We start from the raw sequence: 27,906 nt of genomic DNA, 5'->3' as shown, positions 1-27,906 counted from the left end.
AAATTTAAATAGCCACATGTGGCTAGTGCTAGTATACTGGACAGCTCAGTTCCACAGGCTTTCATAGGTATTTCCTGAAATACCTATGAAGTGAGATTACATGGTTAAAAAAAATAGCTCACACCTGTAATCCCAGCACTTTGGGAGGCTAAGGCAGGCAGATCACCTGAGGTCAGGAGCTTGAGACCCGCCTGGCCAATATGGCAAAACCCCATCTCTACTGAAAATACAAAACAAGTTGGATATGGTAGTGCATACTTGTAATCTCAGTTACTTGGGAGGTAGAGGCAGGAGAATTGCTTGAACCTGGGAGGCAGAGGTTGCAGTGAGCCGAGATCACCCCACTGCACTACAGCCTGGGCGACAGAGTGAGACTCCATCTCAAAAAAATAAATAAATAAAATAAATAAATAAATAAAAAAGAAAAAAGATTACATGGTTAATTAAATTAGGAAATGCTAACTCCTAATGCACACACACACACTAGAGGCTAACGAGAGTTTGGCGATAAAAAATTTTAACTTTTTTTCGTATGATCTTTTCCCAAACTTATTTAACCACGAAATAGTCTTTCTTTTTTTTGGAGGAATATCTATCAGTACTTTATTATCTGTATATTGAAGTATGGGATATGCTTGCTGGATTTTTTAATAAGTAGCATTGGCACAACTTGTTAATTATTTGATTAAAAAAGTAAAGAGTTTTACCTCATACCTTACATCAAATTATATTTTAGATAGAATACAAATTTAAATGTTAAAAAGTAAAAAAAAAATTGTTAGAAAATATTAGTTAATACACTTACATGACTAGTCAATAAACACATGAAAAGACACTGGACATCAGAGTAGTAATCAAATAAATGTAAGTTAAAATAAAATTTCATTTTTTTACCTGTCAAGTTAGCAAAGGTGAAGAAAACTAATAATAATTAGCATTGCTGAGAGATTATGGGAAATGAGTAAATGATGCCCCATTTTGATAGGACTGTCATACATGCAAGCTTTTTCAAGGGTAATTTGCCATTATATTGGAATTCTTAAGAAATTTATATATGTAGGTATTATACTTTAAGAAATTTAACTTAAGGGAGACATTAACAATGTGTGCAAAAATTCAACAAGATATTCACCATGGCAGTATTTGTAACAGAAAAACTGGAAACAATCTGGAGTTCAAAAAAGGACTGGTAAATTAAACAACAGGGTTTCCACACGATGGAATAGTTTTCAGCCATTAAATATAATATTGTCAATACAAATTTATTAAAAGAAAAATGTTCATAATATGCTTTGATATAAACATCTGTATATGATAAAAATATACAGAAAAATAATCAAGAACGATATCCATCAAGTGTAAATATCATTTTAAGAAATAGGATTAATACTTTTTTGCCTTTTTCCTTCTACCTTTTGATATTGTGCTTTAATTTTTCCCCCTTTTTTAATAATGAACACATAATTAGTAAATACAGTGATTTCCATATTGAAGAGGAATAAAAGATGTACCAGTTCCCACTCTTATAATGACATAAAATATTTCCATTTTTTCAACTTCTGAGTCTTACTTCTGTCCTCTGGATAAAACAGGTAAATCTAATCTCTTTTCCATAAATGTTCAAACACAAATATTTAAAAATAATTTGATGTTTACTAAAATTAGAAGATTATGTCCAACTTCTAATGTCTGATTCAACTTGCACTTTCACAAAAAGAATCACATCCAAGACCAAATATGCTTTTTATGGCAAAAATATTTCCAGGAAGGAAGTTCATGGCTTTTTTTTGGGGTTTCAATTTCCCCCCAATTAAAACGTTTCCTTTTAAAACTAAGCCTAAGCCATCTGGAGATCTGTATAATGTGGCATGTAAGAATGACCATCAAGATTTATTATATAACCCTCTTGAGTACACAGATTAGATTTTACTCATCCTTCTAACTTCAGTGCCTGACAAGCTAGAGTTTTAATAAATAAATATTTTTCCTGAGTGAGCAAAGTACAGAAGTGAAACATATCTTGAAAAACTCAGGAAAACACAACACAGTTATAAATGTAAGAAATATTCTCAATTTTATAAATGAGCTATGAATTTAAACAACATTCCTGTAACATCAATATTTCAGAGAGGAATTCAGCTCTCAAAGTACAAAACCTACTTGGTGTGATGATGATGCTTGGTAACTCTACTGCTATAAATTCCACTTTATTCTGTCTGGGGCCAAGGAGATAAAACAGGTGACTTTTTAGGATTTCATCTAACACCAAGGCTCTCCATTTATTGCTCTGTAACTAGGCACAGCTATCAATGGCTAAGGTGTCATTGACCATGAAAATAATTTTATTCCTGGTCTACCATTTCTACCTCAAGAGTTCCATTTGTAGGCTGGGTGCGGTGGCTCATGCCTGTAATCCCAGCACTTTGGGAGGCCAAGGCGGGTGGATCACCTGAGGTCGGGCGTTCTAGATCAGCCTGACCAACATGGAGAAACCCTGTCTCTACTAAAAATACAAAATTAGCCAGGCGTGGTAGTGTACAACTGTAATCCTAGCTACTCGGGAGGCTGAGGCAGGAGAATTGCTTGAACCCAGGAGGTGGCGGTTGTGGTGAGCCAAGAGCACGCCACTGCACTCCAGCCTGGGGAACAAGAGCAAAACTCCATCACAAAAAAAAAAAAAAAAGTTCCATTTGTAATTGTGTCACAGTTTTTGTCCTCAATATAAACCTGGTGTATACCAAGTTTTTCTTGTGGTGACTTTGTTTTGCTTCAAATTTTCTGAGAAATGACTTTACACAATTGCAAACTTTGAAATGACTAGGAGTGAGGGTCAGGTGTGGAGAGGCCATTAGAATTAATAAGACGTCTGTGTAAGATAATATTTTATAAAGGTGTAGACAGAACTTTATTTTAGTACATGTGGTAACAAAGTCTGATAAGGAGTGGTTAAAGCCATGATTTACCTCATTTCACAGATAATCACTGTGGTCAGCACATGGCAGCTCTATGCAAACACACTATTTGAAAGAACACAAAAAAGCTATGATCTTTTAATCTCATTTGTTCTAAGGATTTCAAATCCTGGCAAGTTATTTTTTTCATAGATAGTTAAGAGGTAAATTGTCATTACAAATTGCTCATTAGTGGGTTTCAAAAATGTGCCTGGCACATAGTAGAGGTTCAATAAATATCTAATGAATTAATGAGTAATGAATCACACGACTTTGAGAGTTTTATTCATTGGCCATCAGGGAAAGCAAGCCTAAGGTTTTCAAACAATAATACAGATGCTCAAAATAGTAACTATAGTTGGGACAAATTTTTTGGGATCAAGACAATGATCCAGTGCTTTTATAAGTTGATTGTGGAGTAAGCCATTTAATTGGGAGCCAGAGAAAGGAACTTTCAGAAATTTTCTGTAAGTAATAAAAATTATTAAAAAGCCTCATAAAAGTATTATTTCTGATTTCAGATAGACCCACTCCTCCTCCTCCCGCAAAAGGTGTCAGATAGCTGAACCTCAAGTTCTGCATAAACTTAATTCTTCCTATCACCACCCAAATGGCCTCCAATTATTTGATGGACAGAAAGTCAATATAGGCTAGTTATGTTGAAGAAGGTGGTAATGGTGGCCTCTCTGAGAACCTAGTTCTGGAAGTTAATTTTATAGGACTCATTTGGATCAGTAATACCTAAACCCCAAATTCAATTTTTTAGAATACATTTAAAAAGTACATACTTTGGGTACTAGCTGGATTTGAGCAGTAAGTTTCTATAGTCCGGTATTGATCAGTTTCAAAGGAGATGGGTTGCCTGGGCCTTGAGGACTTCACATTCTTTTGCTAATGTGTTTAAACTAAACTTCTTTCCCATCCAAGAAGTTTAAGGAATTGGCAAAAAGAGAGGAGTTCTGACTTTTAAAAGTCAGAAATGTAGGACTCACAGGTATAGACAGGTATATAGACAGTACATACTTTGGGTACTAGCTGGATTTGAGCAGTAAGTTTTTATAGTCCGGTATTGATCAGTTTCAAAGGAGATGGGTTGCCTGGGCCTTGAGGACCTCCCATTCTTTTGCTAATGTGTTTAAACTAAACTTCTTTCCCATCCAAGAAGTTTAAGGAATTGGCAAAAAGAGAGGAGTTCTGACTTTTAAAAGACAGAAATGTAGGACTCACAGGTATAGACAGGTTCTGACTTTTAAAAGTCAGAAATGTAGGACTCACAGGTATAGATGGAGTTTGACTGAGGAAGGCCTTGGCAAGATCTGTGAACTTATGGTAAGGCCATTGCTTTATTAGAAGTACTAACAATATCATTTATAATACAAAAGACTGGGCTAGCCTCTTGACCACATAAAGTTAACTGACTCCCACACTGGGGTATATATTCCTGTTGACAGGTATGCCATTTATTCCAATGTATGTTACTCTAGACTGGTCAGCACATTGTGGAAATAAAGGAATTTAGCAGACTCTAGAGATCACCTCAAGATTTTTTTTGGAGACAGGCTCTCTGTCACTCAGGCTGGAGTGCAGTGGCATGAACACTGCAGCCTCGACCTCCTGGGCTCATGTAATCCTCCTGCTTCAGTCTCCCGTGTAGATGGGACCACAGGCAGGCACCACTATGTCTGGCTAATTTTCTTTTTTTTTTTTTGGAGAGACACGGTCTCACTTTGTTGCCCAGGCTGGTCTTGAACTCCTGGGCTCAAGTGATCCTCCTGCCTCAGCCTCCCCAAGTGCTGGGATTACAGGCCTGAGCCACTGCACCTGGCCCAAGATTCCATTTTTCAAAAATTAATTAACTTATTGTTCTAGTCTCTTCATTCCTATCTTCTCTTTTGATAATCTAACCTGCACATTATTCTAGATTTTCAAACAGAACTCTAATCACATTATTCTACTCCAAAAAATTTTAACAACCCTCCATTGTCTACCAAAGTAACTACAAATTACAGCCTGGCATTCAATGATTTCCACAAAAATAGCCCCAATCTACCTTTCCTGATTTATTTTCTGGTATTACTCTCACAGACATATACACCCACAAGCTCAGTCCCTCTGCAGGCCCTGGTTATTAGGAAACAGTGGGATAGTACTGGTTGCTGCCCCAGAGCCAGCCTCTCATCCCAGCAGAGAGGTTGGGAAGTGAACACTGCTTCATCATTTTTCTGAAACACAGATTTGATGTCATGCTCTTGCTTAAAACCATTATACTGAGATATTTTAAAACTTAGGATCCATAGACCAGGATGTGGCTAGAATATCAGGGTTCTGTGAACTTAGACTGGGAAAACAATTGCATCTTTGTTTTCAATAATCAGTAGCTGAAATTTAGCATTTCTTCAATAAGTGTGGACCACAAACTACAATATTAGCACTCTCTTTTTTACCAATAGAAATCTGATATTTTCACATCACATTAAAGTTGCTGCAGGCATTTCAAAATATAATTTATAGTCATCACTACTTAGAAATTATATAATTAGACCTGCTGCCAGATTTTATTTAATGCATAAAGTGCATATATATCACACATTTGTTTTAATATTTTAAAAACTTAACAAAATTAGTTTCCTTTATATTACTACGTATTCTATTTTATATATTTAAGAACATTTTTCTGAGACTGAATCTATAAGGTGGACTGCCAACAAGGTCCACTGGGTAAAAGAGGTTAAGAACCTTTTTTGTACTTATTAATTACTTCTAGTAATATAATCTAAACTCTTCACCATGGAATTCAAGGCTCCTCATAATCTGTTCACACCCACTTTATCATCTTCATCTCTGTCCCACCTCTACTCTCCATACTATGCTCTAGCCATACTAGACAACAATAACTCGTTCTTATCTGGGTCTGATAGACAGGTTTTTGGATTAACCCTAGTTAATAGATAGCAGCCATACACTGTCTTGGTCTTTACCTCATACAGCTTCTCTGCCTGCCAAGTGAATTCTTTGTTTAAAGGCCTGCTTTCCCTAATACGGTAATTTTCCATCCTAATTGAGCTGTATTTTAAATATCTTTATATCTCATTACTAACTTAAATGATAAATAATAGAAAAAGATTCTAAATTGGCAAGGCACTGTATGTAGTAATCTCTATGAGAGTGGATGTTGGTCTTTGCATCTCATAAATTGGCTTAGCTCTGGATGTTGGTCTCTGCATCTCATAAATTGGCTTAGCTCTGATCATTTTGGGGACAGAAGTGGGGATGGCCTTTGAGCTTTAAGGCTGGAGACAACAGCTGACCAATCCTGGACGGAAGGGAACGGGAGAGCAAAGAGACAAGTAACTAATTTGGACCTGATAAACACTGAGGAATGAACAGTGCTGAAGAGAAAGGCAAGAGTGGCTCCTTCTCCCATTTCCCAGACCAGTTATTCCAAACATAACGCCGCTCAAGTTTCTCATTCCATCTCCAAGCCTCTCTGTAGTTAAATGACCTCCATCTTTTTTTTCTGGGGGCGGGGACGGAGTCTCGCTCTGTCACCCAGGCTGGAGTGCAGTGGCGCGATCTTGGCTCACTGCAAGCTCCGCCTTCCGGGTTCATGCCATTCTCCTGCCTTGGCCTCCCGAGTAGCTGGGACTACAGGCGCCTGCTACCACGCCCGGCTAATTTTTTGTATATTTAGTAGAGACGAGGTTTCACCATGTTGGCCTGGATGGTCTCGATCTCTTGACCTCGTGATCCACCCGCCTCGGCCTCCCAAAGTGCTGGGATTACAGGCGTGAGCCACCGCGCCCGGCTAAATGACCTCCATCTTAATGTTACAGAGCCAACTGTCTCAACTTCCTTCTCTCTAGTTTAGTGAGTCTCAATCTTTAGCATTAGAGTCACCTGTGGAGCTTTAAAACAGTAATGACACCTGGCACAACCCAGAATTTAATTGGTCTAGAGTGGGGCAACAGTATTGGTTTTATTTAACAAAAAGTTTCCCAGGTGATTCAAATGCACATACAAGGTTGCGTTCCACTAGTGATCTTGATCTTATAAATTAGCCTCCCTCACCCTCGAAGAGGCCACTTCTCGGTTTCATGGTACGCTTTTGAGTCTTCTACCTAAACAGAAAACATTCCTGAGGGCCATATTCTCGTTCCTCATTTCTCTAACTTTATAACGATGCTTCTTTAAAGGGAAGTCTACACTAGTACGGTTTCCATCAGGTTTATTTTACTTCTTTTTTCTCTTTCAGACCACCACTGTCACATGCTCTTGCGCCCGTTATTCTGCTTTTACCTCCTTTCGTATTTCTTTGACCAGGTACTGGATTACTAGTCTTTTAACACAGTCCTCTAAAAGTGACCCAAAAGTCACCCTGGAAAGGGCTTCCTCACGTTATCCTCCTACACAACCTGGGACCCCTCTTCTGTGCGCAGACAGCATCCCGTGCATTTTTCTCTATTGTCACTTTATTGTACTACCACTGCGGATTCTCTCACGGTCTCCTATACAAAAGCACTTCAAAAAGCTGACACCACTTAATTCGCCTCTGACATTCTGGAACCCAAGGCATGGAAACCACTCAGTGAAAAGTCTGAGAAATGAATGGAAACGGAGGTCGGGGCGGGGACAATGGAGGGGGCAGTGGGTGGAGAGAGCGTGCGTGTTTGAAAAGGGGCGGGGGCTATGACCGGCGGCGCTGAGAATCCAGGTCCAGAATCGGGAGGGAGCACGGATACGCCAGAATCTGAGTGGGTGGGAGAGCGATCCACTGCCGAGACAAACCGAAGTGGGGAGGAGGCTTCTTACCTGCCTCGGGCCTCACCACCCCAACCAGCCTTCAGGCACCTCTGTGTTGGCCGGAAAGCGACAGCTACGGTCGCAAACTCAGAGGTTTCGTCCCCAACCTTGCGACATCCCTTTCCAGTACAGGGAGAATCTAAAGCTGAGTTCCCTGCTCTGCCGTAAGGTGAAGAAGAAAAAATTTGGGCGGGGCCGCCTGGGGCGTAGGAAAGGGGGCGTGTCTGCGCAAGCGCACGCTGTACTCTCCAGTGGCGTCACGTGCGGGGGCGGGACAGGGCGGGGCCGACCCGTGCTGGCAGTAGGGGGCGTGGGAGGTAAGTGCGCGCGCGCCTGCTCGCCTGCAGCCGGGGAGTCGCGCGGGGCGGGGCCGCGTGCGCGGGGTCGGGGGCGCGCGACCGAAGCGGATAAGGGACGCGGCGGCGGTTGGCTGTGTCTGTTGAGAGAGTACAGGACAGCCCGGACTGCGAGAGGCGGCGGCGGAGGCAGTAGTTGCACCGGCAGAGGCGGCCGCTGGCAGCGGTTGAGGCGGCGGTCCAACGCGTGCTCTCTGGGCGGGGTGCGGCGGGGGATGTGCCTGCTCAGGCCGGGCGGAGTCTCTCTGACAGGGCGGGGGATGCGCCGCGGCCGCTCGCCCGGACCCTGAGGCTGCTGGGCCCACCCTCCCGGAACCGTCCGACCCTCGGTGGCCTCGGCCTCTTCTGCCATCTCCGGTCCTACCCTGGGGCGGAGGGTGGAAGGCAGCTTCCGTCGAAGAGGAGGGGGCTGCGGTGGCCACCGCGGCGGAGCCCGAGGTAAGACCCGCCCAAGCGCCCAGCGGCCCTGCAGCCCGTCCTGGCCCACGTCTCAGCCTCGCTATTTGGCTCCGGTCGGGCCGCCCCGCCCCGTCCCAGCGGAGACGCCCCGCGAGCGGGTCTGCGCCGAGCCTCCCAAACACCAGATCACGGCCCCGGATCCCCAGTAGACCCCACCCCCTGTATCTTCCATTGGCCGGGCACCATTCCGGCCCTCCAGCCTCCCCGGAGATTCTGTCACGGTCCCCCCAACCCAGCAGACCCCATTAGTACCCCTCAGAGTCCCTTAGGACTCTTAATGGAGCTTCTAGACTACGTTACATCCTCCCTTGGGCTGACGTGATTACAGTTCTCAGGCAAAGTCTCGACCGCCCCCTAACCCATTGCGTCCCCCATGTGCCCCTCGCCCTACTCTTCTTAGTAGAACCCCTCCCAGCTCGCTCATCACCAAGCCGACTAGCACTAACCCTAGCCATCACGGCTTTCAGATAGCCGCTGTCATGGTGTTCTTACTCCCGGTAGATGTGGTGTCAGTCCCTCTAGACACCGTCACAGACTTTGGCTTCTCTCCCACCACCGACTGTAGCCTCTCTCAACAGACCTCTCCTCAAGCAAACCTTGTTATCTTTCTCCTTAGTCGCGATCCTTTCTTTGGTTGAAAGGGCTTTGCCATGAAATCCTGAGGGAATATTTGCTTAGCCTAATGTATTCCCTCCATTGTGGCTTAAGGGGACCGACCGAGACCCATGTTTGGAGGGGTTGGGCTGAAAAAAGTGGGAGGCAGAGTGAAGTTATGGAAGCATGAGGCCAGTTGTGTGTGTGCCATTATAAGGTCACAGAGCCTGCACCTCGTCTTGTCTGTTCTGTGTAGAACGTGTGAGGTTGTCCAGCACTGATGTTTTAGGGACCTCTGTAAGGATTAAATCACGTTGCACTAGTGGATATAACTATGTCGTCTTGTAGTATTACTTCACCTCCTTGTCGATTGCTGCAGATACTAGAACTGTTTCTTATTTTTATTTTTAAAGGATACTAGGGGACTTTTTTTGGATTCACTGTTTTTTGGATTTGCTAGAAAAATAAGATTTGTAGCATTCCTTAATCCCTGAATGCTTCGATGTCGGTTTAATAATAAACTTCTGTTGCCTGGTGCTGCTGTCTTGCTTCTCCAAGAAGCAAGTACAGAAATCATGCAGTGTTCACTGAGGTCATTACCAACAACAGCCTTCTCAATAGCAGTAAAATGTTGAATAAAATGTTTGTAGAAGTTGAGCTCCTGAGTTGTCAAGAAAGAAATGTAATGTTGCATCAAATGATCAGTACGTAATTTTAATATTGGTATAAAGATGAAATATAAAGAGGTCTTTGTAGTCATACACACACACACAGTAAAAAATGTTAAAGTAACAGGAGAAAATCACATTAAAATTATAGATAATAACTAGACGTAAAAGCCAAAAGTTTCGGAAGAGTAATGTAGTAAAAATTTCTGTTCCGCCTTCACTCTCCAGCCACCCATTTTTCCTCTTTAGAGGCAACCACTATTTCCAGCTTCATGTGTATCCTTTCTGTGATATTTCCAATATATAAACCTACACATTTATATTTTTAAGACACTGTACACAAATGGTTGCATACTTTACATTCTATACATAGCCTGTTTTTTTTACTTAATACTACATCCTAGAGGTCATTTCTTAACAATACATATGGAAGTGCCTCATTTACTGGCTGGATAGTATTCCATTTTTGTGGACTGGAGGTTATTTTTGGTGTTTTGCTTTTACCAACAATGTTACATGCTTTTCTTTTAAATGTGTCTGATGTTATATGTATGTTTAAATAATTTTGTGAGTTGAAAAAAATTCCTGATGATTCTTTTATGTTGAACCTACAGAAAGGATGTAACTAAATTTCTCATTGAACCTCTGAGCTTCCACAGTGTGACTAGCTGTGATGATGATTATAATATTTATTAAATTATTGAAGGATTTTAAAGCAGGGGACTGGAATGATCAGATTTGCATTTTAAAAAAGTCATTCTGGCTGCAGTGAATTGAAGAGTAGAATAAGACTAAAGGCCAGGAATATTAGGGTTATCCAGGCAAATGGTGAGACTGGATCTGAACTTGGATATTCGGAGTTGAGTTGGTGATTTTATTGTATTTGGGGTTGGGGAGAAGTTGCATACAGGATAAAATCTAGGTTTCTGGCTTGTGCCTTTCACTGAGGTGGGGATTCCCATGAAGGAGTGGGATTTTGTTTTTATTTTGTCAAGGAGGAAGGATAGAGGGGTTAATTTGTGACATGTTCAGTTTAGGTGACTGTAGTTCTGTCAGATGTAGATGACCATTAGGCATTTGGATTTGTGGCTGAAGCTCAGTATCAGGTTCTGGGTTGATAGCAGTAGATTTTGGAGGCAAAATCATACAGAAGGGAGGAGAAAAGGTTTTAGGATGGAAACCCAACATTTAAATTACAGGTAGAGTTGAATATTTAAATTAGTAAATTACATGATTAAGTGCCTTTAAAAAACTTATTCTAGTTTAAGCATTAACAGTGAGATTCACTATCTAATATATGAATTTTTAACAGTTGTTTTCCCTTAGTTATTTTAGTAGTATATAGTTCCTGAGGGAAATTGGGTAAACTTAGATTTTTTTTAACAAGTACCTCAATAGAAGTTAGCGATATAAACTCCATCTTTCCTAATCATTTGGATTATACTATGTGGAAGTTTGTTCAGTCTTTAATAGCAGAGAAATGTAGGAGGTTTGAAAATATGATTTGCCAAGAATATTAAGGTTTTTAGTTGGAGTGATTTTTGGTTATGTTAACTCAGTTTGAAATAAATATTAGTCAAAGACTTTTCAGACATTTTAAAAACCACAATATTGACTTAATGTATTGATTCCTAAGTCTAGAACTGCTGTCTAGAGTGCTTGCCTTTGCTCTAGACCCCTGTAAAAGCACTGCCTAATGGATATCACCACTTTGATTCACATTTCACAAACACTTCAATCCAAACATTTAGGAAACAAAACTCTTCCTGCCTCTTTTCCCCCCACAAAAACAGTGGAGAGAGAGCCGGAGACAGAAACTGCAACAAAATTTTTTCTTCCCCCCGATTTCCTACCTTGATTAATGGCACCACTCTTTCCTCATGAAACCTTCAGGAACCTGGGAATTGCCCTCCGCTTCACTCTGTACTTCACTGCCAACATCCAGTCTGTCACTGCCTTGTACATTTTCCCTCATGATATTTCAGGTCATTCCTTATTACTTTTTGTTGCCTCTATCTTATTTTAACTGAAAATATCTGTTTGTTGGGCTTCTGTAATGCTGAGTGGTCTTCTTGCCTTCTGTCTTCTGCCTCTTGTCATGCCCTCCTGTTCATTCTCTTGACTGCTGTTGGAGTAAGTATTCTAAAATGCTCTTTTAGTCAGGCTCTTTCACTTGGAGGGAAGAGACTCAAGTTACCTTAAGTAATGAAGTGCTTATTGAAAGGAACCATACACAAGGGAACCCAGGAAAAGTTAACTTGCTCTCAAGAAGAAAAAGAACCTAATAAAACTTGCTCTCAAGAAGAACAAGAACCTAATAAAGCTGGAGACCCCACTCCAGTGCTCCATTGTTAGCTTGTCCTAGATACCGTTTCTTTCTTCAGTTTTTTTCCCCCTATGTCATAGCTTCCATTTATTACTAATTTCTGCTCCTTATAACTACTATGTGACCCCCATGCCAACATCTTGCCTCCTGGCTGCAATTGTTTTAAAACGTTTTAAAAGAGGTTAGCTCCTGTTGCTAACCTCTTCCTTTTCCCTAGGATTTTCTGGTTTGAATTCCAGATTTGGCTCAGCTCTTTTTCTCATTGATTGCTAACAAGTCTGTGTACTTAGGTTATGTCACCACTCTTGGCCATTTATTGTTGGCTGTGTGTTTGTATGTATATATGGGTATCAGGAAAGATCTTAATGGTGGAAAGTATGGGACAGTGTGCAGGCTAATTTACCGCAAAATGGGGTTGTGAGCATGGCCCACACCATAATTTTGACATGTATAGTACAGATAAAAATCAAATCATGTCCTTTCCTATTGAATAATCTTCAAAAAAGCTGTCTCATTGCTTTCAGGATAGAGTTTAAACTGTAGCATGGCATGTGTATGAGATCATTCATGATCTAACTCTTAATTCTCTAGCTTTTCTTCACTTGCTGTCTTCCTTACATACTTTAATCCACTCTTACTGACTTTAGGCTTCCTCTCAGGTAATGTGCTTTCTCTCTCGTCTTTTACATTTGATGTTCTATTTCCCTGATTTCCACTTTCCCCTTTCTTTGCTTGGCTAATTTCTGTCTGACCTTTAGGATTCAGTTCAGGTGTATATTCTTCAGGAAGATTTCCTTTACCTCTTTTCAGATTAAGTTAGGTACCATTCTTATGTGCTCCTGTAGCACATAGTAATTACTTCTATCATAGTCCTCTAATGAAATAGCTTAATTACTTGTCTGTTTTCTTCACTAGGGTTTGACTACTTTGGTAAGAGGGATGATATCAGTGCTTTTTAGTAAAACAAGTTTTTAGATTGAGCATTTTAAAAAATATAAGTTCAGAAAAAATAGGGTCTCACTGTGTTGCCCAGGCTGGTCTTAAACTCCTGGACTAGAGCCATCCTCCTGCCTCAGCCTTTGAAAGTGCTAGGATTACAGGCTGAGCCACTGTGCCCAGCCTAAAAATATAAGACTTTATAAATTATAAAATATACAAAAAGTACACAGCTGGTAAATATATAGCTCAGTGAATTTTCACTAAGAACATACCAGTGTAACTAACATCTACATCAAGATATAGAATATCACTAGAACTCTACAAGCTGCCTCATGCCTTCTTCTAGTCACTAATCCAGCTCATAGAGGATTTAATTTACATGGGAAACCCTTTAACATATAGGTTTCTGTACCTATTTTGTGTGTATCTTTAGACATGCAAGGAGTGTAGGTATTGGAATTTTGATCCTGTAGAAAGAACATACCTAATTTATGTTATAGAAACAATTATGGCATAGTTTCATACAATAGACAAGTTCAAAATAACATAATACTACTAAGGTTTATTTGTGAGATGTTATATTTAGGTAGGTGTTTTTGTTTTATACATTTAATATGATTTTAGAGTGGCAGAAAATAATATGATAGAACAAAGTATATTTGCTGAAAATGGCCTATGAATTATGAGTGGTAAATATGCTTGGGATAGGTATAGTAAACATGTAAAGCACTTTCCAAATAGTGTTAGGCCTCTGGGTTTTAATGTGAATTATGTTGCTGGCGTATTTTGGCAGTGGGGTCATCCAGCGGGCAACTGAAGTGTAATTTTACATGTACAGTGAGGAATGGACTAGCTGTCCTGTCATAGACAGCTGGCTTGCTAAAAATTGTGTGTGTTTTTTTTATTTATTTATTTTTTTTTACAATTAGCAATAATTTTGGAGCATACTTTTTCTCAGTTTTGATTTTTCTTAAACTGTAAGATTGTGTAGCTCTTTGAATATATAACTGTATTCTTTTAAATATTCTTTTTCCTTAGATAGGCTTTTATATCTGTGAATCTTAAATCCATTAAGTGGAGAGAATATGGATTCTCAAACCTAGATTTCTAACAGACCTGGATTCAAGTTCTAGCCTTATAACTTTGGAACTGTCATTTATGGGCAAGTCAGTTAACGTTTGAGAGCTTGTCAGAATTTTCATCTCTCAATTGGGGATAATTGGGAGGCAGAGGTGGAGGTAGGAGGATCAGTTGAGCCTAGGAGTTTGAGACCAGCCTGGGCAACATAGGAGACCTTGTCTCTACAAAAATGACAAAATTATTATTAAATAGCTGAGTGTGGTGGCATTCACCTATGGTCCTAGCTACTTGGGAGGCTGAGGTGGGAGGATCACTTGAACCTGGGAGGTCGAGGCTGCAGTGATCTGTAATCATGCCATTGTACTCCAGGCTGGGCAACAGAGTGAGACCCTGCCTCAAAAAAAAAAAAAAAATTGGGGGTAATATTTGCCTCATAAGACTATCATTGGAGTTAAAAAAATTTTTATGTAAAGCACCAAGCATATAGTAGGTACTCAGTAAGTCTTCCTTTTCCCTCTTGAATACGTCTATTTCCTGTTTTATTTATTAATTTTTTTTTTTTTTTAAGACAATCTCACTCTGTCACCCAGGCTGGAGTGCAGTGGCGCAATCTCGGCTCACTGCAACCTCTGCCTCCTGGGTTCAAGTGATTCTCGTGCCTCAGCCTCCCGAGTAGCTGGGACTACAGGTGCACGCCACCATGCCCGGCTAATTTTGTATTTTTAGTAGAGACAGGATTTCACCATATTGACCAAGCTGGTCTTGAACTCCTGACCTCAAGCGATCTGCCTGCCTTGGCCTCCCAAAATGCTGGGATTATAGGTGTGAGCCACTGTGCGCAGCCTATTTCTTGTTATGTTTAAATGTGAAATCAATAATTTTTTTTTTTTTTTGAGATGGAGTCTCGCTCTGTTGCCCAGGCTGGAGTGCAGGGGTGCAATCTCGGCTCACTGCAAGCTCTGCCTCCCAGGTTCACGCCATTCTCCTGCCTCAGCCTCCCGAGTAGCTGGGAATACAGGCACCTGCCACCACTCCCGGCTAATTTTTTGTATTTTTAGTAGAGACAGGGCTTCACCATGTTAGTCAGGATGGTCTCGATCTCCTGACCTTGTGATCCGCCCGCTTCGGCCTCCCAAAGTGCTGGGATTACAGGCGTGAGCCACCATGCCCGGCCGAAATCAAGAATTTTAAGAATTTCACTGTGTGGCTTTTAGAATAAATGGCTAATCAAAGTTTGTTGCTAAAAGAAGCAGATATTAGGGCAGTCTGTCTACTAGTTGTCTTTCAAGTGTGATTTTTTTCAGTTAAAATATTTCTTGTGGCATTGGGGCATTTAAAAAATATTTTTGAAAAAATACTGCAAAGAAATGCTTCTCTTGATGTCTTAGCATATAAGATTAATGGATTTTAGAATGTATTTGATTCAGTGTGAGTTATCATAACAAAATGTGTTCTGTTTGTCAATGACAAACATTCCTTAAATAATTGACAGATTTTAGTACTATTGCTGTTTGTAGTGTGTAAGTATTTGTTTGAAATCTGTTTATTTTTATTGATCAGATGATAGTGGGCTGAGTAATCTCTGGAATTTTCTTTTTTTTTTTTTTTTTTTTTTTGAGATGGAGTCTTGCTCTGTCTCCCAGGCTGGAGTGCAGTGGTGCAATTTCGGCTCACTGCAACCTCCGGCTTCCGGGTTCAAGTGATTCTCCTGCCTCAGCCTCCCAAGTAGCTGGGATTACAGGTGCCTGCCACCGTGCCCAGCTAATTTTTGTATTTTTAGTAGAGATGGGGTTTTGCCATGTTGGCCAGGAAGGTCTTCAACTGCTGACCTCAGGTAATCTACCTGCCTCGGCCTCCCAAAGTGCTGGGATTACAGGTGTGAGCCACCACACCCGGCCTGGAATTTCCTTTTTGTTTTTTTCTTGAGACAGCATCTCACTGTATTGCCCAGGCTGGACTCAAGCTCCTGGGCTCAAGCAGTCCTCCCACTTCAACCTCCTGAGTAGCTGGTACTACAGATGTGTGCCACTACGCTGCCTGGCTAGATTTTTTTTTTTTTTTTAATGTAAGGGAGAAAGTTCTTAGGTGACTGTGTGGACATGTTTATAAACGATTTTTAGATTTTTTTTGCCTTATTTATTTATTTATTTTTTTGTGAGACAGAGTCTTGCTCTGTCGCCCAGGCTACAGTGCAGTGGTGCGATCTTGGCTCACTGCAGCCTCCACTTTCGAGGTTCAAGTGATTCTTGATTCTTGTGCCTCAGCGTCCCAAGTAGCTGGGATTACAGGTGTGTGCCACCACACTCAGCTAATTTTTGTATTTTTAATAGAGACAGGGTTTCACCATATTGGCCAGACTGGTCTCAAACTGCTGACCTCAAGCGATCCGCCTGCCTTGGCCTCCCAAAATGCTGTGATTACAGGCGTGAACCACTGCACCCGACTAATATTTTTGTCTTATTTTGCTTTTGCAACTCTGTTTTCTTTTAGTTCTCTTTCTTCCCTCCCCTATTGTTTTATAATTAAGATCTTAAAGAAATAGAAAAGTTGGAAGAGAACACTAATTATGTCTATCAACTAGATTCAAAAGATAGCGTTATGCCATCCATATTTGCATTATTGTTCCCTGTGTGATTGTGTGTGTGTATTTTTTTTTTTTTTTTAGACAGAGCCTTGCTCTGTCACCCAGGCTGGAGTGCAGTGGCATGATCTTGGCTCACTGCATGCTCCACCTCCTGGGTTCACACCATTCTCCTGCCTCAGCCTCCCGAGTAGCTGGGACTACAGGCACCCGCCACCACGCCTGGCTAATTTTTTATATTTTTAGTAGAGGTGGCGTTTCACGGTGTTAGTCAGGATGGTCTCGACCTCCTGACCTCATGATCTGCCTGCTGCCTCGGCCTCCCAGAATGCTGGGATTACAGGCCTGAGCCACCACGCCCGGCTGTGATTGTATATATTTTTGCAGAACCTTTTGAAAGTAAGTTGCGGCTGGGTGCCGTGACTCACATCTGTAACCCCAGCACTTTGGAAAGCCGAGGCAGGTGGATCACCTGAGGTCAGGAGTTTGAGACCAGCCTGGCCAACATGGTGAAACCCTGTCTTTACTAAAAATACAAAAATTAGCTGGGCGTGGTGGTGGGTGCTTATAATCCCAGCTACTCGGGAGACTGAGGCAGGAGAATCACTTCAACCTGGGAGGTGGAGGTTGTGGTGAGCTGAGATTGCACCATTGCCCTCCAGCCTGGGTGACAAGAGTGAAACTCTGTCTCAAAAAAAAAAAAAAAAATGTATGTGTCATGACAAGTTTACTGCAAAATACTTCGTATATATTTTCTAAGAAATACATATTTTTCGTATCACCAGTGTGCTATTACCAACACCTAGGAAAAATAATACCCTAATTTAATATTGAATTTATATTTGAATTTTCCCAACTGTCCTGAAAAATGTTTTTTTCAAAAGAGAACTCACTTTTAGTTTTTGCATTTCATTTGATTATCTCTTTTTAGTCTCTCAATGTAGGAAGTTCCTTCCCACATTTCTCTTCCCTGTGACATTGAAATGTCTTTGAAGAGACCAATCATCTTGTAGAATGGCCTGTTTTCTAGAGTTTTCTGATTGTTTCTTAGATTGTTTAACTTGTTCTTCTGGTGCTTGTATGTCCTGTAAACTGGAAGTTATATTGTAAAGGATTGAATAGATTCATATTAAAAAGTTTTGGCAAGAACACTCTGTAGGTGATGTTGTATATCATGTTGTGTGTTAATGGGAGGCACATAATGTCAGCTGTCCTCCTATCAGTGATGTAAGTTCGATAGGTTTAAGGTGGTGTTTGCTTATGTCTCCATTTTAAAAGTAAATTTTTTCTCCTGTTATGTACAATAATCTGTGGGACTGATACTTTGGTACCATACAAATATTCCATTTCTCAGTATTCTTTCTCTAATAATTTTAGCATCTTTTTTGATCCTTAGGTATTTAATTAAGGATTGCAAAATGGCGATTTTTCTAATTCTGTAATTCTTTTTCATTTATTAGTTATTCTTCAGTTAATAAGAGCTTTGTAACCTTTATCAACTGGGAGTGAACAACAGTTCCTATTAAAAGAGAACAGTAAATGCTTAATTTTTTCCTTAATTTTTAGAGTGAGGATTTGTGTAATAGTCATCTACAATAGTAGCAAATGAGGTTTTTAATGGTCTCATGACTTTTGTTGTATTATAGTCATTTGCAGACGTTTTTTTTTTTTTGATGCTCAAATTGTCTCAAATAAGGACAGTGGGAGCTTCTTCAAACAGGTTCCTGAATTATTTTTTCCTGAACCCATTAGTCTTTGAATGATTCCTTACTTTTGGGTACACGATATCTTGGCTCACCATGGACTTTTCCTGCTTTAGACTTGGAATCAGCAATTTCTCCAAGAAGCTTTGTCTTCTTACAGTGGAGGATTGTATTTATTTATATATTTATTTAATTAAAAAAAATATTTTTTGGAGGGGAGGGGCAAAGTCTTGCTCTGTCGCCCAGGCTGGAGTGCAGTGGCACGATTTTGGCTCACTGCAACTTCTGCCTCCGGGGTTCAAGTGATTCTCCTGCCTCAGCCTCTGGAGTAGCTGGGATTACAGGCGCGCGCCACTATACTTCGCTAATTTTTGTATTTTTAGTAGAGACAGGGTTTCACCATGTTGACCAGGCTGGTCTGGGACTCCTGACCTCAGGTGATCTGCCTGCCTCAGCCTCCCAAAGTGCTAGGATTACAGGCATGAGTCACTACACTCTGCCGAGATTGTATTTAGAAACCACTATTTAGGTGCTAAGTATGCTCCTTGTTATTGGGCTGTCATTGAGGCTCTTGACAGGAGGGAGTAAAAAGCATGATATCATCTTGATAATTCTTACTCAAGTTTAACATTATGGGTTTCTTCCTTCTCTTCTCCCTACTCTTCTTCCTCCTCCTCCTTTTAGTTTGTTAAATTATTTTTGTTTTAATCTCCTTTACGTTGAAAATCATAGTTTTTATTAACATTGATGTATGTTTTTTCTAAGTATTTATAAAATAGTTTCAAAAATAAATGAAACTGCTCAGTGAGACTCAAAATTTCTTTGCATTTCTTTTTGTCCTTAGACTGTATCCTACTAAGAATGTACCTATTGTAAGTAGTACTATGTTCAAAAGTCACTTGAAATAATGATTTTCTCAGTTTGATTGTTACCAGTTTAATATGCAGTTAGGTCTACTTATTTTATTTTAGGATTTGCTTTTCCTGTTTTTAGACTTAATTTGGCTGGGTGCTATGGCTCACGCCTGTAATCCCAGCACTTTGGGAGCCTAAGGTGGGAGGTTTGCTTGAGCCCAGGAGGTTGAGGCTGCAGTGACCTGTGATTGCGCTGCTGCACTCCAACCTGGGTGACAGAGTGAAACCCTATTTCAAAAAAAAAATAAAAAAAAACCCTTGATTTTATTCTTTGAATATGTAAAGCACTTACATAGTTCAGAAAGAGAAACCATATAAAAAAAGGATTTTTATTTTCTTAAATGTTTTTAGAGATGAGGTCTTGCTCTGTCACCCAGGCTGGAGTGATAGAGCAAGTGCAGTGGCACAATCATACATCACTGCAGCCTTGAACTCTTGGGTTCAAGCCATCCTTCTGCCTTAGCCTTCTGAGTAGCTAATACTATAGGTGCGTGCCACTGTGCCTTCCTAATTATTTTTTTAAATTACATTTTATTTTAGTAGGGATGGGGTCTTGCTATGTTGCCCAGGCTGGTTTTGAACTCCTGGCCTCAAGCAGTCCTCCTGTCTCAGCCTCCCAGAGTGCTGAGATTACAGGCATGAGTCATTGTGCCTGGCCAGGAATCTCATTTTCATCCCCATCTTTTTCATCCTGTTTTCTCACTCCTCTATACGTAACCATTTTTGTAAGTCTTTGATTAATCATCCTAATATTTTTCTTTCAAAAATAAAATATATGTATTCTCTTTTCATATGCTAAAGGTAGCATACCATGTATTCTGTTCTGTACCTTTTCTTTTTTTTCCACTTACTGTATGCTGGAGAGGACTTCGTATTGGTATATAAGATGTTTCTCATTCTTTTTTACGGAGACACAATATTCTATTATACGGATGTACCATAGTTTTATTCAGTGAGTTTGGTTCTGAAGGATATTTATGTTTAATCTTTTGAACTATGTGTAAGTAATACATATTGAATAAATTGATTAAAAAATAAAGCTTTCCCCGCAGGGCATGGTGGCTTATGCCTGTAATCCCAGCACTTTGGGAGGCCGAGGCCGGTGGATCACCTGAGGTTGAGAGTTCAAGACCAGCCTGACCAACATGTAGAAACCCCATCTCTACTAAAAATACAAAATTAGCTGGGCGTGGTGGCACATGCCTGTAATCCCAGCTACTAGGGAGGCTGAGGCAGGAGAATCGCTTCAACCTGGGAGGCGGAAGTTGCGGTGAGCCAAGATCATGCCATTGTGCTCCAGCCTGGGCAACAAGAGGGAAACTGTCTCAAAAAAAAAAAAAAAAAAAAAAAAGCTTTCCCAGCATTTCGGGAGGCTGAGGCAGTAAGGTTGCTTGAGGCCAGCAGTTTGAAACCAGCTTGGGCAACATAATGAGACCCTGTCTCTACCAAAACAAACAAAAGAACTAGCCAAGCATTGTGGTGTGTGCCTGTGGTCCTAGCTACTGGGAAGGCTGACATGGGAGGATCACTTGAGCCCAGGAGTTCGAGGTTACACTGAGCCATAATGATCATGCCACGGTAGTAGTCCAACAGCCTGGGCAATAGAGCAAGACCCTGTCTCTTAAAAGAGAAAAAAGGAAAAAGAAAAAAGTGTTTTTCCCAAGTGACTGAGAAGGAGCTGATTTTTTCCAGAAGAGTCTTGTAGCTTTCAGAGGTATCTTTGTTCTGTTTTGTTGTTGTTGAGATAATTTTAGGAAAAAAACAGTAGATATATTTTGGTATGGTACCTAGGTCTGAAGGGACAGTAGATGATTTGCCTGCTTTATTTCACTGTTTCCTGCTTTATTTCACTGTTTCCTGACTCCTTGAATCATTAGAACTAAAAAAAAGCCCATGTCTTGAATGTTTTCATGTAAGGATACATTGTATCTTCACTGGGTTTTCCTGAAAATTCTGCTCTTATGTACATCTTATGTACCATTTCCCCTTAACTTTAACCTTTCTTCTTTCTCTTTTTTTGTCTTAAATCTCAGATTATGTATAGGATTCTAAGCATTTAATGTACAGCTTCTTACAGTATAGTAGGGCAGAACAGATGTATCCTATGAATGAAGAGAAAGAGATCAGGAAAATGCTAAAGGCAGAGGGAATAGTCTGTTGGGATATAAAGAATTCAGTCTCTGGGCTTGTAGAATGACAGTTGGTTTAGGGAATCATTCAGATCTAAATTGTCTTTTACTTCGTTTAATCAGAATGGAAGTTGTTTCATTTATTGATCAAAATATTTGAGCATCTACCATGACCAACTTCCTGATGTGTAGGCACTGGGGAGGATACAGAACATTTTGTAATTATGGTAGCTTTTAAAAAATGCACACTAGGTACCAGACTTATATTACCGTATATTAAATTACCATACTAGTTACATGCAGTTGTTATTTTTCCTTTTCATTCATATACTGATGCTTCCTTACTTACAGTGGGGTTACATCCTGATAAACCCATTGTAAGTTGAAAATACCATAAGTCGAAAATGCATTTATTACACCTAACCTACCAAATATAATAGCTTAGCTTAGCCTTCCTTAAATGCGCTCAGAACACATTAGCCTACAGTTGGACAGAATCATCTGGCAACACAGTATATACTATTGAGGATCAGTTGTTTACCCTTGTGAGAGCTGCTGCTTTCTGCTGCTGCCCAGCATTATGAGAAAGTATCATACTGCATATTGCTAGCCTGGGAAAAGATAAAAATTCAAAATTTGAAGTATGGTTTCTACTGAATGCATATCGATTTTGCACTGTGCTAAAGTTGAAAAACTGTAAGTTGAACCGTCATAAGTTGTGGACCATCTGTATACAAGAGAAGGCATAAAATGTTCAGTTTAAGGGAAATAATAAAGTGAATATTAGTGTTGTCATTGCCCAGGTCAACAAGCCAGAAGTGCTTCCCTCCAACCTCACCATCCTTGTCAACATATCCCCCCTCAGTGGAGGTAGTTATTATCCTGACCTTTGTGACTGTTTTTTGCTTTGCTTCATAATTTTAAGTCCTAGCTATACATCCTTAAACAATATAGTTTTCCTTGTTTTTGAACTTCATGTGCATATAATAATACTATGTGTATATTATGTAATCTAAAAAATTAGTTCAGTATTTGTGAAATTCTTCTGCTTCTGCTGCTGCTTCTTCTGTTACTTCTGCTTCTTCTGTTTCTTCTTCTGCTTCTTCTGTTGCTTCTTCTGCTTCCACTGCTTCTGCTGCTTCTGCTTCCACTGCTTCTGCTGCTTCTGCTTCCACTGCTTCTGCTGCTTCTGCTTCCACTGCTTCTGCTGCTTCTGCTGCCACTGCTTCTGCTTCTGCGCTGCTTCTGCTTCTGCTGCTGCTTCTTCTTCTGCTGCTGCTTCTGCTTCTGCTGCTGCTGCTTCTGCTGCTGCTTGCTGCTTGCTGCTGCTTCTGCTGCTGCTGCTTCTGCTTCTGCTGCTGCTTCTGTCTCTGCTTGCTGCTGCTTCTGCTTCTGCTGCTGCTGCTTGCTGCTGCTTCTGCTTCTGCTGCTGCTGCTTGCTGCTGCTTCTGCTGCTGCCTCTGCTTCTCCTTCTGCTGCTGCTGCTTCTGCTGCTGCTTCTGCTTCTGCTGCTGCTTTTTTTTTTTCTTGAGACTTAGTCTTACTCTGCCACCCAGGCTGGAGTGCAGTGGCGCAATCTTGGCTCACTGCAACCTCCGCCTGCCAGGCTCAAGTGATTCTCCTTCCTCAGCCGAGGAGAATCACTTGAACCCGGGAGTGGAGGTTCAGTGAACAGAGATCGCACCACTGCACTCCAGCCTGGGTGACAGAGTGAGATTCCATCTCAAAAAACAAAGAAACAACAACAAAAAAAACCATATATAATTTGAATTTATCTGTAGATTCTTCTGGATTTCCTATATATATAATTATGTCATATGCAAATAATGACAATTTTGTCTCTTGTTTCTAATCCTTATACCTTTTATTTTTTTCCTGCTTTCCTTTGCTGCCTGAGATCTCCAGCATAATGTTGATAGGACTTTATAGGGCCATCTTTGTCTTGTTTCTCATCTCAAGGGAAAAATGTTCAACCTTTCCTCATTAAGCATGGTGTAGGCTTTGTAGATACCTTTTATCGAATCAAGGAAGCTTCTGTTTTTCTTTTGCCAAGACTCCATTAGAGACGTGTATAACTACTGAATTTTCTTGGATTTTTTTGAGATGTGGTTGATTGTATTGATTGGCTTTCTGATATATCTGTTATTTCTGGATTCAGAGTCCAGAGTGCTCACCATTACACCATGGAACCACCTAATCTGTTATTTCTTTTTTTTTTTTTTTTTAAATTTATTTATTTTTTATTGATAATTCTTGGGTGTTTCTCACAGAGGGGGATTTGGCAGGGTCATAGGACAATAGTGGAGGGAAGGTCAGCAGATAAACAAGTGAACAAAGGTCTCTGGTTTTCCTAGGCAGAGGACCCTGCGGCCTTCCGCAGTATTTGTGTCCCTGGGTACTTGAGATTAGGGAGTGGTGATGACTCTTAACGAGCATGCTGCCTTCAAGCATCTGTTTAACAAAGCACATCTTGCACCGCCCTTAATCCGTTTAACCCTGAGTGGACACAGCACATGTTTCAGAGAGCACAGGGTTGGGGGTAAGGTCACAGATCAACAGGATCCCAAGGCAGAAGTTTTCTTAGTACAGAACAAAATGAAAAGTCTCCCATGTCTACTTCTTTCTACACAGACACGGCAACCATCCGATTTCTCAATCTTTTCCCCACCTTTCCCGCCTTTCTATTCCACAAAGCCGCCATTGTCATCCTGGCCCGTTCTCAATGAGCTGTTGGGCACACCTCCCAGACGGGGTGGTGGCCGGGCAGAGGGGCTCCTCACTTCCCAGTAGGGGCGGCCGGGCAGAGGCGCCCCTCACCTCCCGGGCGGGGCCGCTGGCCGGTCGGGGGCTGACCCCCCCACCTCCCTCCCGGACGGGGCGGCTGGCCGGGCGGGGGGCTGACCCCGCCACCTCCCTCCCGGACGGGGCGGCTGGCCTGGCAGAGGGGCTCCTCACTTCCCAGTAGGGGCGGCCGGGCAGAGGCGCCCCTCACCTCCCAGACGGGGCGGCTGGCCGGGCGGGGGGCTGACCCCCCCCACCTCCCTCCCAGACGGGGCGGCTGGCCGGGCGGGGCCTGACCCCCCCACCTCCCTCCTGGATGGGGCGGCTGGCCGGGCAGAGGGGCTCCTCACTTCCCAGTAGGGGCGGCCGGGCAGAGGCGCCCCTCACCTCCCGGACGGGGCGGCTGGCCGGGCGGGGGGCTGACCCCCCCACCTCCCTCCCGGACGGGGCGGCTGGCCGGGCGGGGGGCTGACCCCGCCACCTCCCTCCCGGACGGGGCGGCTGGCCTGGCAGAGGGGCTCCTCACTTCCCAGTAGGGGCGGCCAGGCAGAGGCGCCCCTCACCTCCCAGATGGGGCGGCTGGCCGGGCGGGAGGCTGACGCCCCGACCTCCCTCCCGGACGGGGCGGCTGGCCTGGCGGGGGGCTGAACCCACCTCCCTCCCTGACGGGGCGGCTGGCCGGGCGGGGGGCTGACCCCCCCACCTCCCTCCCGGACGGGGCGGCTGGCCGGGCAGAGGGGCTCCTCACTTCCCAGTAGGGGCGGCCAGGCAGAGGCACCCCTCACCTCCCAGACGGGGCGGCTGGCCGGGCGGGAGGCTGATGCCCCGACCTCCCTCCCGGACGGGGCGGCTGGCCTGGCGGGGGGCTGAACCCCCCACCTCCCTCCCTGACGGGGCGGCTGGCCGGGCGGGGGGCTGACCCGCCTACCTCCCTCCCGGACGGGGCGGCTGGCCAGGCGGGGGGCTGACCCCCCCACCTCCCTCCGGGACGCGGCGGCTGGCCGGGCGGGGGGCTGACCCCCCCCACCTCCCTCCCGGACCGGGCGGCTGGCCGGCGGGGGGCTGACCCCCCCCACCTCCCTCCCGGACGGGGCGGCTGGCCGGGCGGAGACGCTCCTCACTTCCCAGACGGGGTGGCTGCCGGGCGGAGAGGCTCCTCATTTCTCAGACGGGGCAGCTGCCGGGTGGAGGGTCTCCTCACTTCTCAGACGGGGTGGTTGCCGGGCAGAGGGTCTCCTCACTTCTCAGACGGGGCGGCGGGGCAGAGATGCTCCTCACCTCCCAGACGGGGTCGTGGCGGGGCAGAGGTGCTCCTCACATCCCAGACGGGGCGGCGGGGCAGAGGTGCTCCCCACATCTCAGATGATGGGCGGCCGGGCAGAGACGCTCCTCACTTCCTAGATGTGATGGCGGCCGGAAAGAGGCGCTCCTCACCTCCTAGATGGGATGGCGGCCGGTCGGAGACGCTCCTCACCTCCCAGACTGGGCAGCCAGGCAGAGGGGCTCCCCACATCCCAGACGATGGGTGGCCAGGCAGAGACGCTCCTCACTTCCCAGACGGGGTTGTAGCGAGCCGAGACCACGCCACTGCACTCCAGCCTGGGCACCACCGAGCACTGAGTCTTCACATCTGTTATAGCTCAGAGTGATCTGCACGCCTCGGCCTCTCAAAGTGCTGGGATTCCAGGTGTGAGCCACCACACCTGTCTAATTTTTCTATTTTTTGTAGAGACAGGTTTCACCATGTTGGCCAGGCTGGTCTTGAACTCCGGACGTCAGGTGATCCGCCCGCCTCGGCACCCCAAAGTGTTGGGATTCCAGGTGCAAGCCACCACACCTGTCTAATTTTTCTATTTTTTTAGAGATGGGGTCTTGCTATACTGCCCAGGCTGGTCTCAAACTCCTGACCTCAGGTGATCCGCCTGCCTCACCTCCCAGAGTGCTGGGATTACCCTAATCTGTTATTTCTGATGTTAGTTTTTATCCCTTTTTCCATTCCTGATCCTTTGCTTTTTTTTTTTTTTTTTTTTTTTTGAGACCAAGTCTTGCTCTGTCACCCAGGCTGGAGGGCTGGAGTGCAGTGGCTCGATCTCGGCTCACTGCAGCCTCAGCCTCCTGGGTTCAAGCAGTTCTCCTGTCTCAGCCTCCTGAGTAGCTGGGACTACAGGCGCATGCCACCATGCCCGACCAATTTTTATGTTTTTAGTAGAGTCAGGGTTTCACCATATTGGTCAGGTTGGTCTCAAACTCCTGGCTTCAGGTGATCCACCCGCTCAGCCTCCCAAAATTCTGGGATTACAGGCATGAGCCACCGCGCCCAGCCTTGGTTTTTTTTTCTTTTTTTGAGACAAGGTCTCGCTGTTGCCTAGGCTGGAGTGCAGTGATGTGACCACGGCTGGCTGCAGTCTTGACCTCCCAGGCTCGAGTGATTCTACCACCTCAGGATCCTGAGTAGCTGGGACTACAGGTGTGTGTCACTAGACCTGGCTAATTTTTTTTTCTTTTTTTTTTTTTTTTTTTTGGGGCAGGGTCTTGCTCTATTGCCCAGCATCTCGGCTCATTGCCAACCTCTGCCTCCCAGGTTCAAGCGATTGTTGTGACTCAGCCTCCTGAGTAGCTGAGACCACAGGTGTGCACCACTACACCTAGCTGACTTTTGTATTTTTTAGTGGAGATGAGGTTTCACCATGTAGGCCAGACTGGTCTGGAACTTCTGGCCTCAGTTGATCTGTCTGCCTCAGCCTCCCAAAGTGCTGGATTACAGGTGTGAGGCCCTGCCCCTGGCCTGGACCTGGCTACTTTTTGAGTTTTTGTAGAGATGAGGTCTTGGCTGTGTTGCCAGGGTTGATCTCGAACTTCTGGGCTCAAATGATCTTTCTGCCTCCGCTTCCCAGTATTGGAATTACAGGTGTGAGCTACTGTGTCTGGCCTCTTTTTCTTTTTAATTTCTTAATTATTTTTGCCAGAGGTTTGCCAATTTATAGTTGTTTTTTTTTTTAAATACAACTTCTGGCTTTGATGGCCTTTACTATTTTGTTTTCTCTCTACTTATCACTTCTTCGTTTTTATCATTTCTTTTCTAACCAAAATATGATCACAGCAGTTTGTTTTGTTTTGTTTTGTTTTGTTTTTGAGATGGGGGTGTGGTCTCATTATATTGCCCAGGCTGGTCTCGAACTCCTGGGCTCAAGTAACCCTCCTGCCTCAGCCCCCTGGCTAGCTGGGGCTATAGGTGTGTGGCACCACACACACCTGATCACTTCTGTTATTTCCTTCCTACTTTCTTCAGGTTTATTTTGCAATTCTTTTTTATCTTCTGAATAGATAGCTCTCTAATTTTTTTTCCTATTATACTTATTTAGGGTTATACATTTTCCCATGAAGTATTGCTTTAATTGCATCTCACAAGTTTTGAAATGTAGTTTTGTTATTTATTTCAAAATATTTTTCATTTATTGGTCACATATATTATTTAGGAGTATATTTAAAAATTTCCAAATAAGTGACAATTTTTAGTATGTTAGTTATCTATTGTTGCATAACCAGTTAAGCCCAAAACTTAGTGGCTTATTATCCTTTACAGTTTTGGTGGGTTAGGAATTCAGGAGTGGTTAAACTTGGCATT

The 27,906-nt window shown here is 43.0% G+C and overlaps 2 protein-coding genes across 57 annotated transcripts in view, besides 3 other annotated features; one reads left to right on the top strand and one right to left on the bottom strand.

The window, feature by feature from the left end:
• The window catches only part of SENP8 (SUMO peptidase family member, NEDD8 specific), a 29,435-nt gene extending 17,468 nt beyond the window's left edge, over positions 1-11,967 (bottom strand). For 2 of the 7 annotated variants that reach the window (XM_005254157.4, NM_001172110.1), the window contains exon 1: positions 9,163-9,320. The gene's annotated coding sequence lies outside the window, so the exon portion shown is untranslated. Of the gene's footprint in view, positions 1-7,760; positions 7,823-9,012; positions 9,033-9,058; positions 9,375-11,681 lie in introns of those variants that run through there. The other 5 variants (NM_001172111.2, NM_145204.4, NM_001166340.2 and 2 more) reach the window with 4 other exon arrangements.
• MYO9A (myosin IXA) overlaps positions 7,625-27,906 on the top strand; it is a 296,310-nt gene continuing 276,028 nt past the window's right edge. For 30 of the 50 annotated variants that reach the window (XM_047432577.1, XM_047432572.1, XM_047432568.1 and 27 more), the window contains exon 1: positions 8,075-8,545. The gene's annotated coding sequence lies outside the window, so the exon portion shown is untranslated. The other 20 variants (XM_047432573.1, XM_047432569.1, XM_047432580.1 and 17 more) reach the window with 4 other exon arrangements.
• Positions 7,954-8,723: a silencer, noted in NCBI's record as "silent region_6616". NCBI's record gives its function as "represses an Ori minimal core promoter by ATAC-STARR-seq in GM12878 lymphoblastoid cells {active_cell/tissue: GM12878}" and the evidence as "EXISTENCE:reporter gene assay evidence [ECO:0000049][PMID:35858748]".
• Positions 8,924-9,133: an enhancer, noted in NCBI's record as "active region_9710". NCBI's record gives its function as "activates an Ori minimal core promoter by ATAC-STARR-seq in GM12878 lymphoblastoid cells {active_cell/tissue: GM12878}" and the evidence as "EXISTENCE:reporter gene assay evidence [ECO:0000049][PMID:35858748]".
• Positions 23,647-24,157: an enhancer, noted in NCBI's record as "NANOG-H3K27ac-H3K4me1 hESC enhancer chr15:72394409-72394919 (GRCh37/hg19 assembly coordinates)". NCBI's record gives its function as "activates a minimal SCP1, AML or CMV promoter by ChIP-STARR-seq in primed H9 embryonic stem cells {active_cell/tissue: H9 hESC(primed)}" and the evidence as "EXISTENCE:reporter gene assay evidence [ECO:0000049][PMID:30033119]".

Source organism: Homo sapiens, chromosome 15, assembly GCF_000001405.40.
Source record: "Homo sapiens chromosome 15, GRCh38.p14 Primary Assembly".
Lineage (NCBI taxonomy): Eukaryota > Metazoa > Chordata > Mammalia > Primates > Hominidae > Homo > Homo sapiens.
This window is presented reverse-complemented; position numbering and strand designations above follow the sequence as displayed.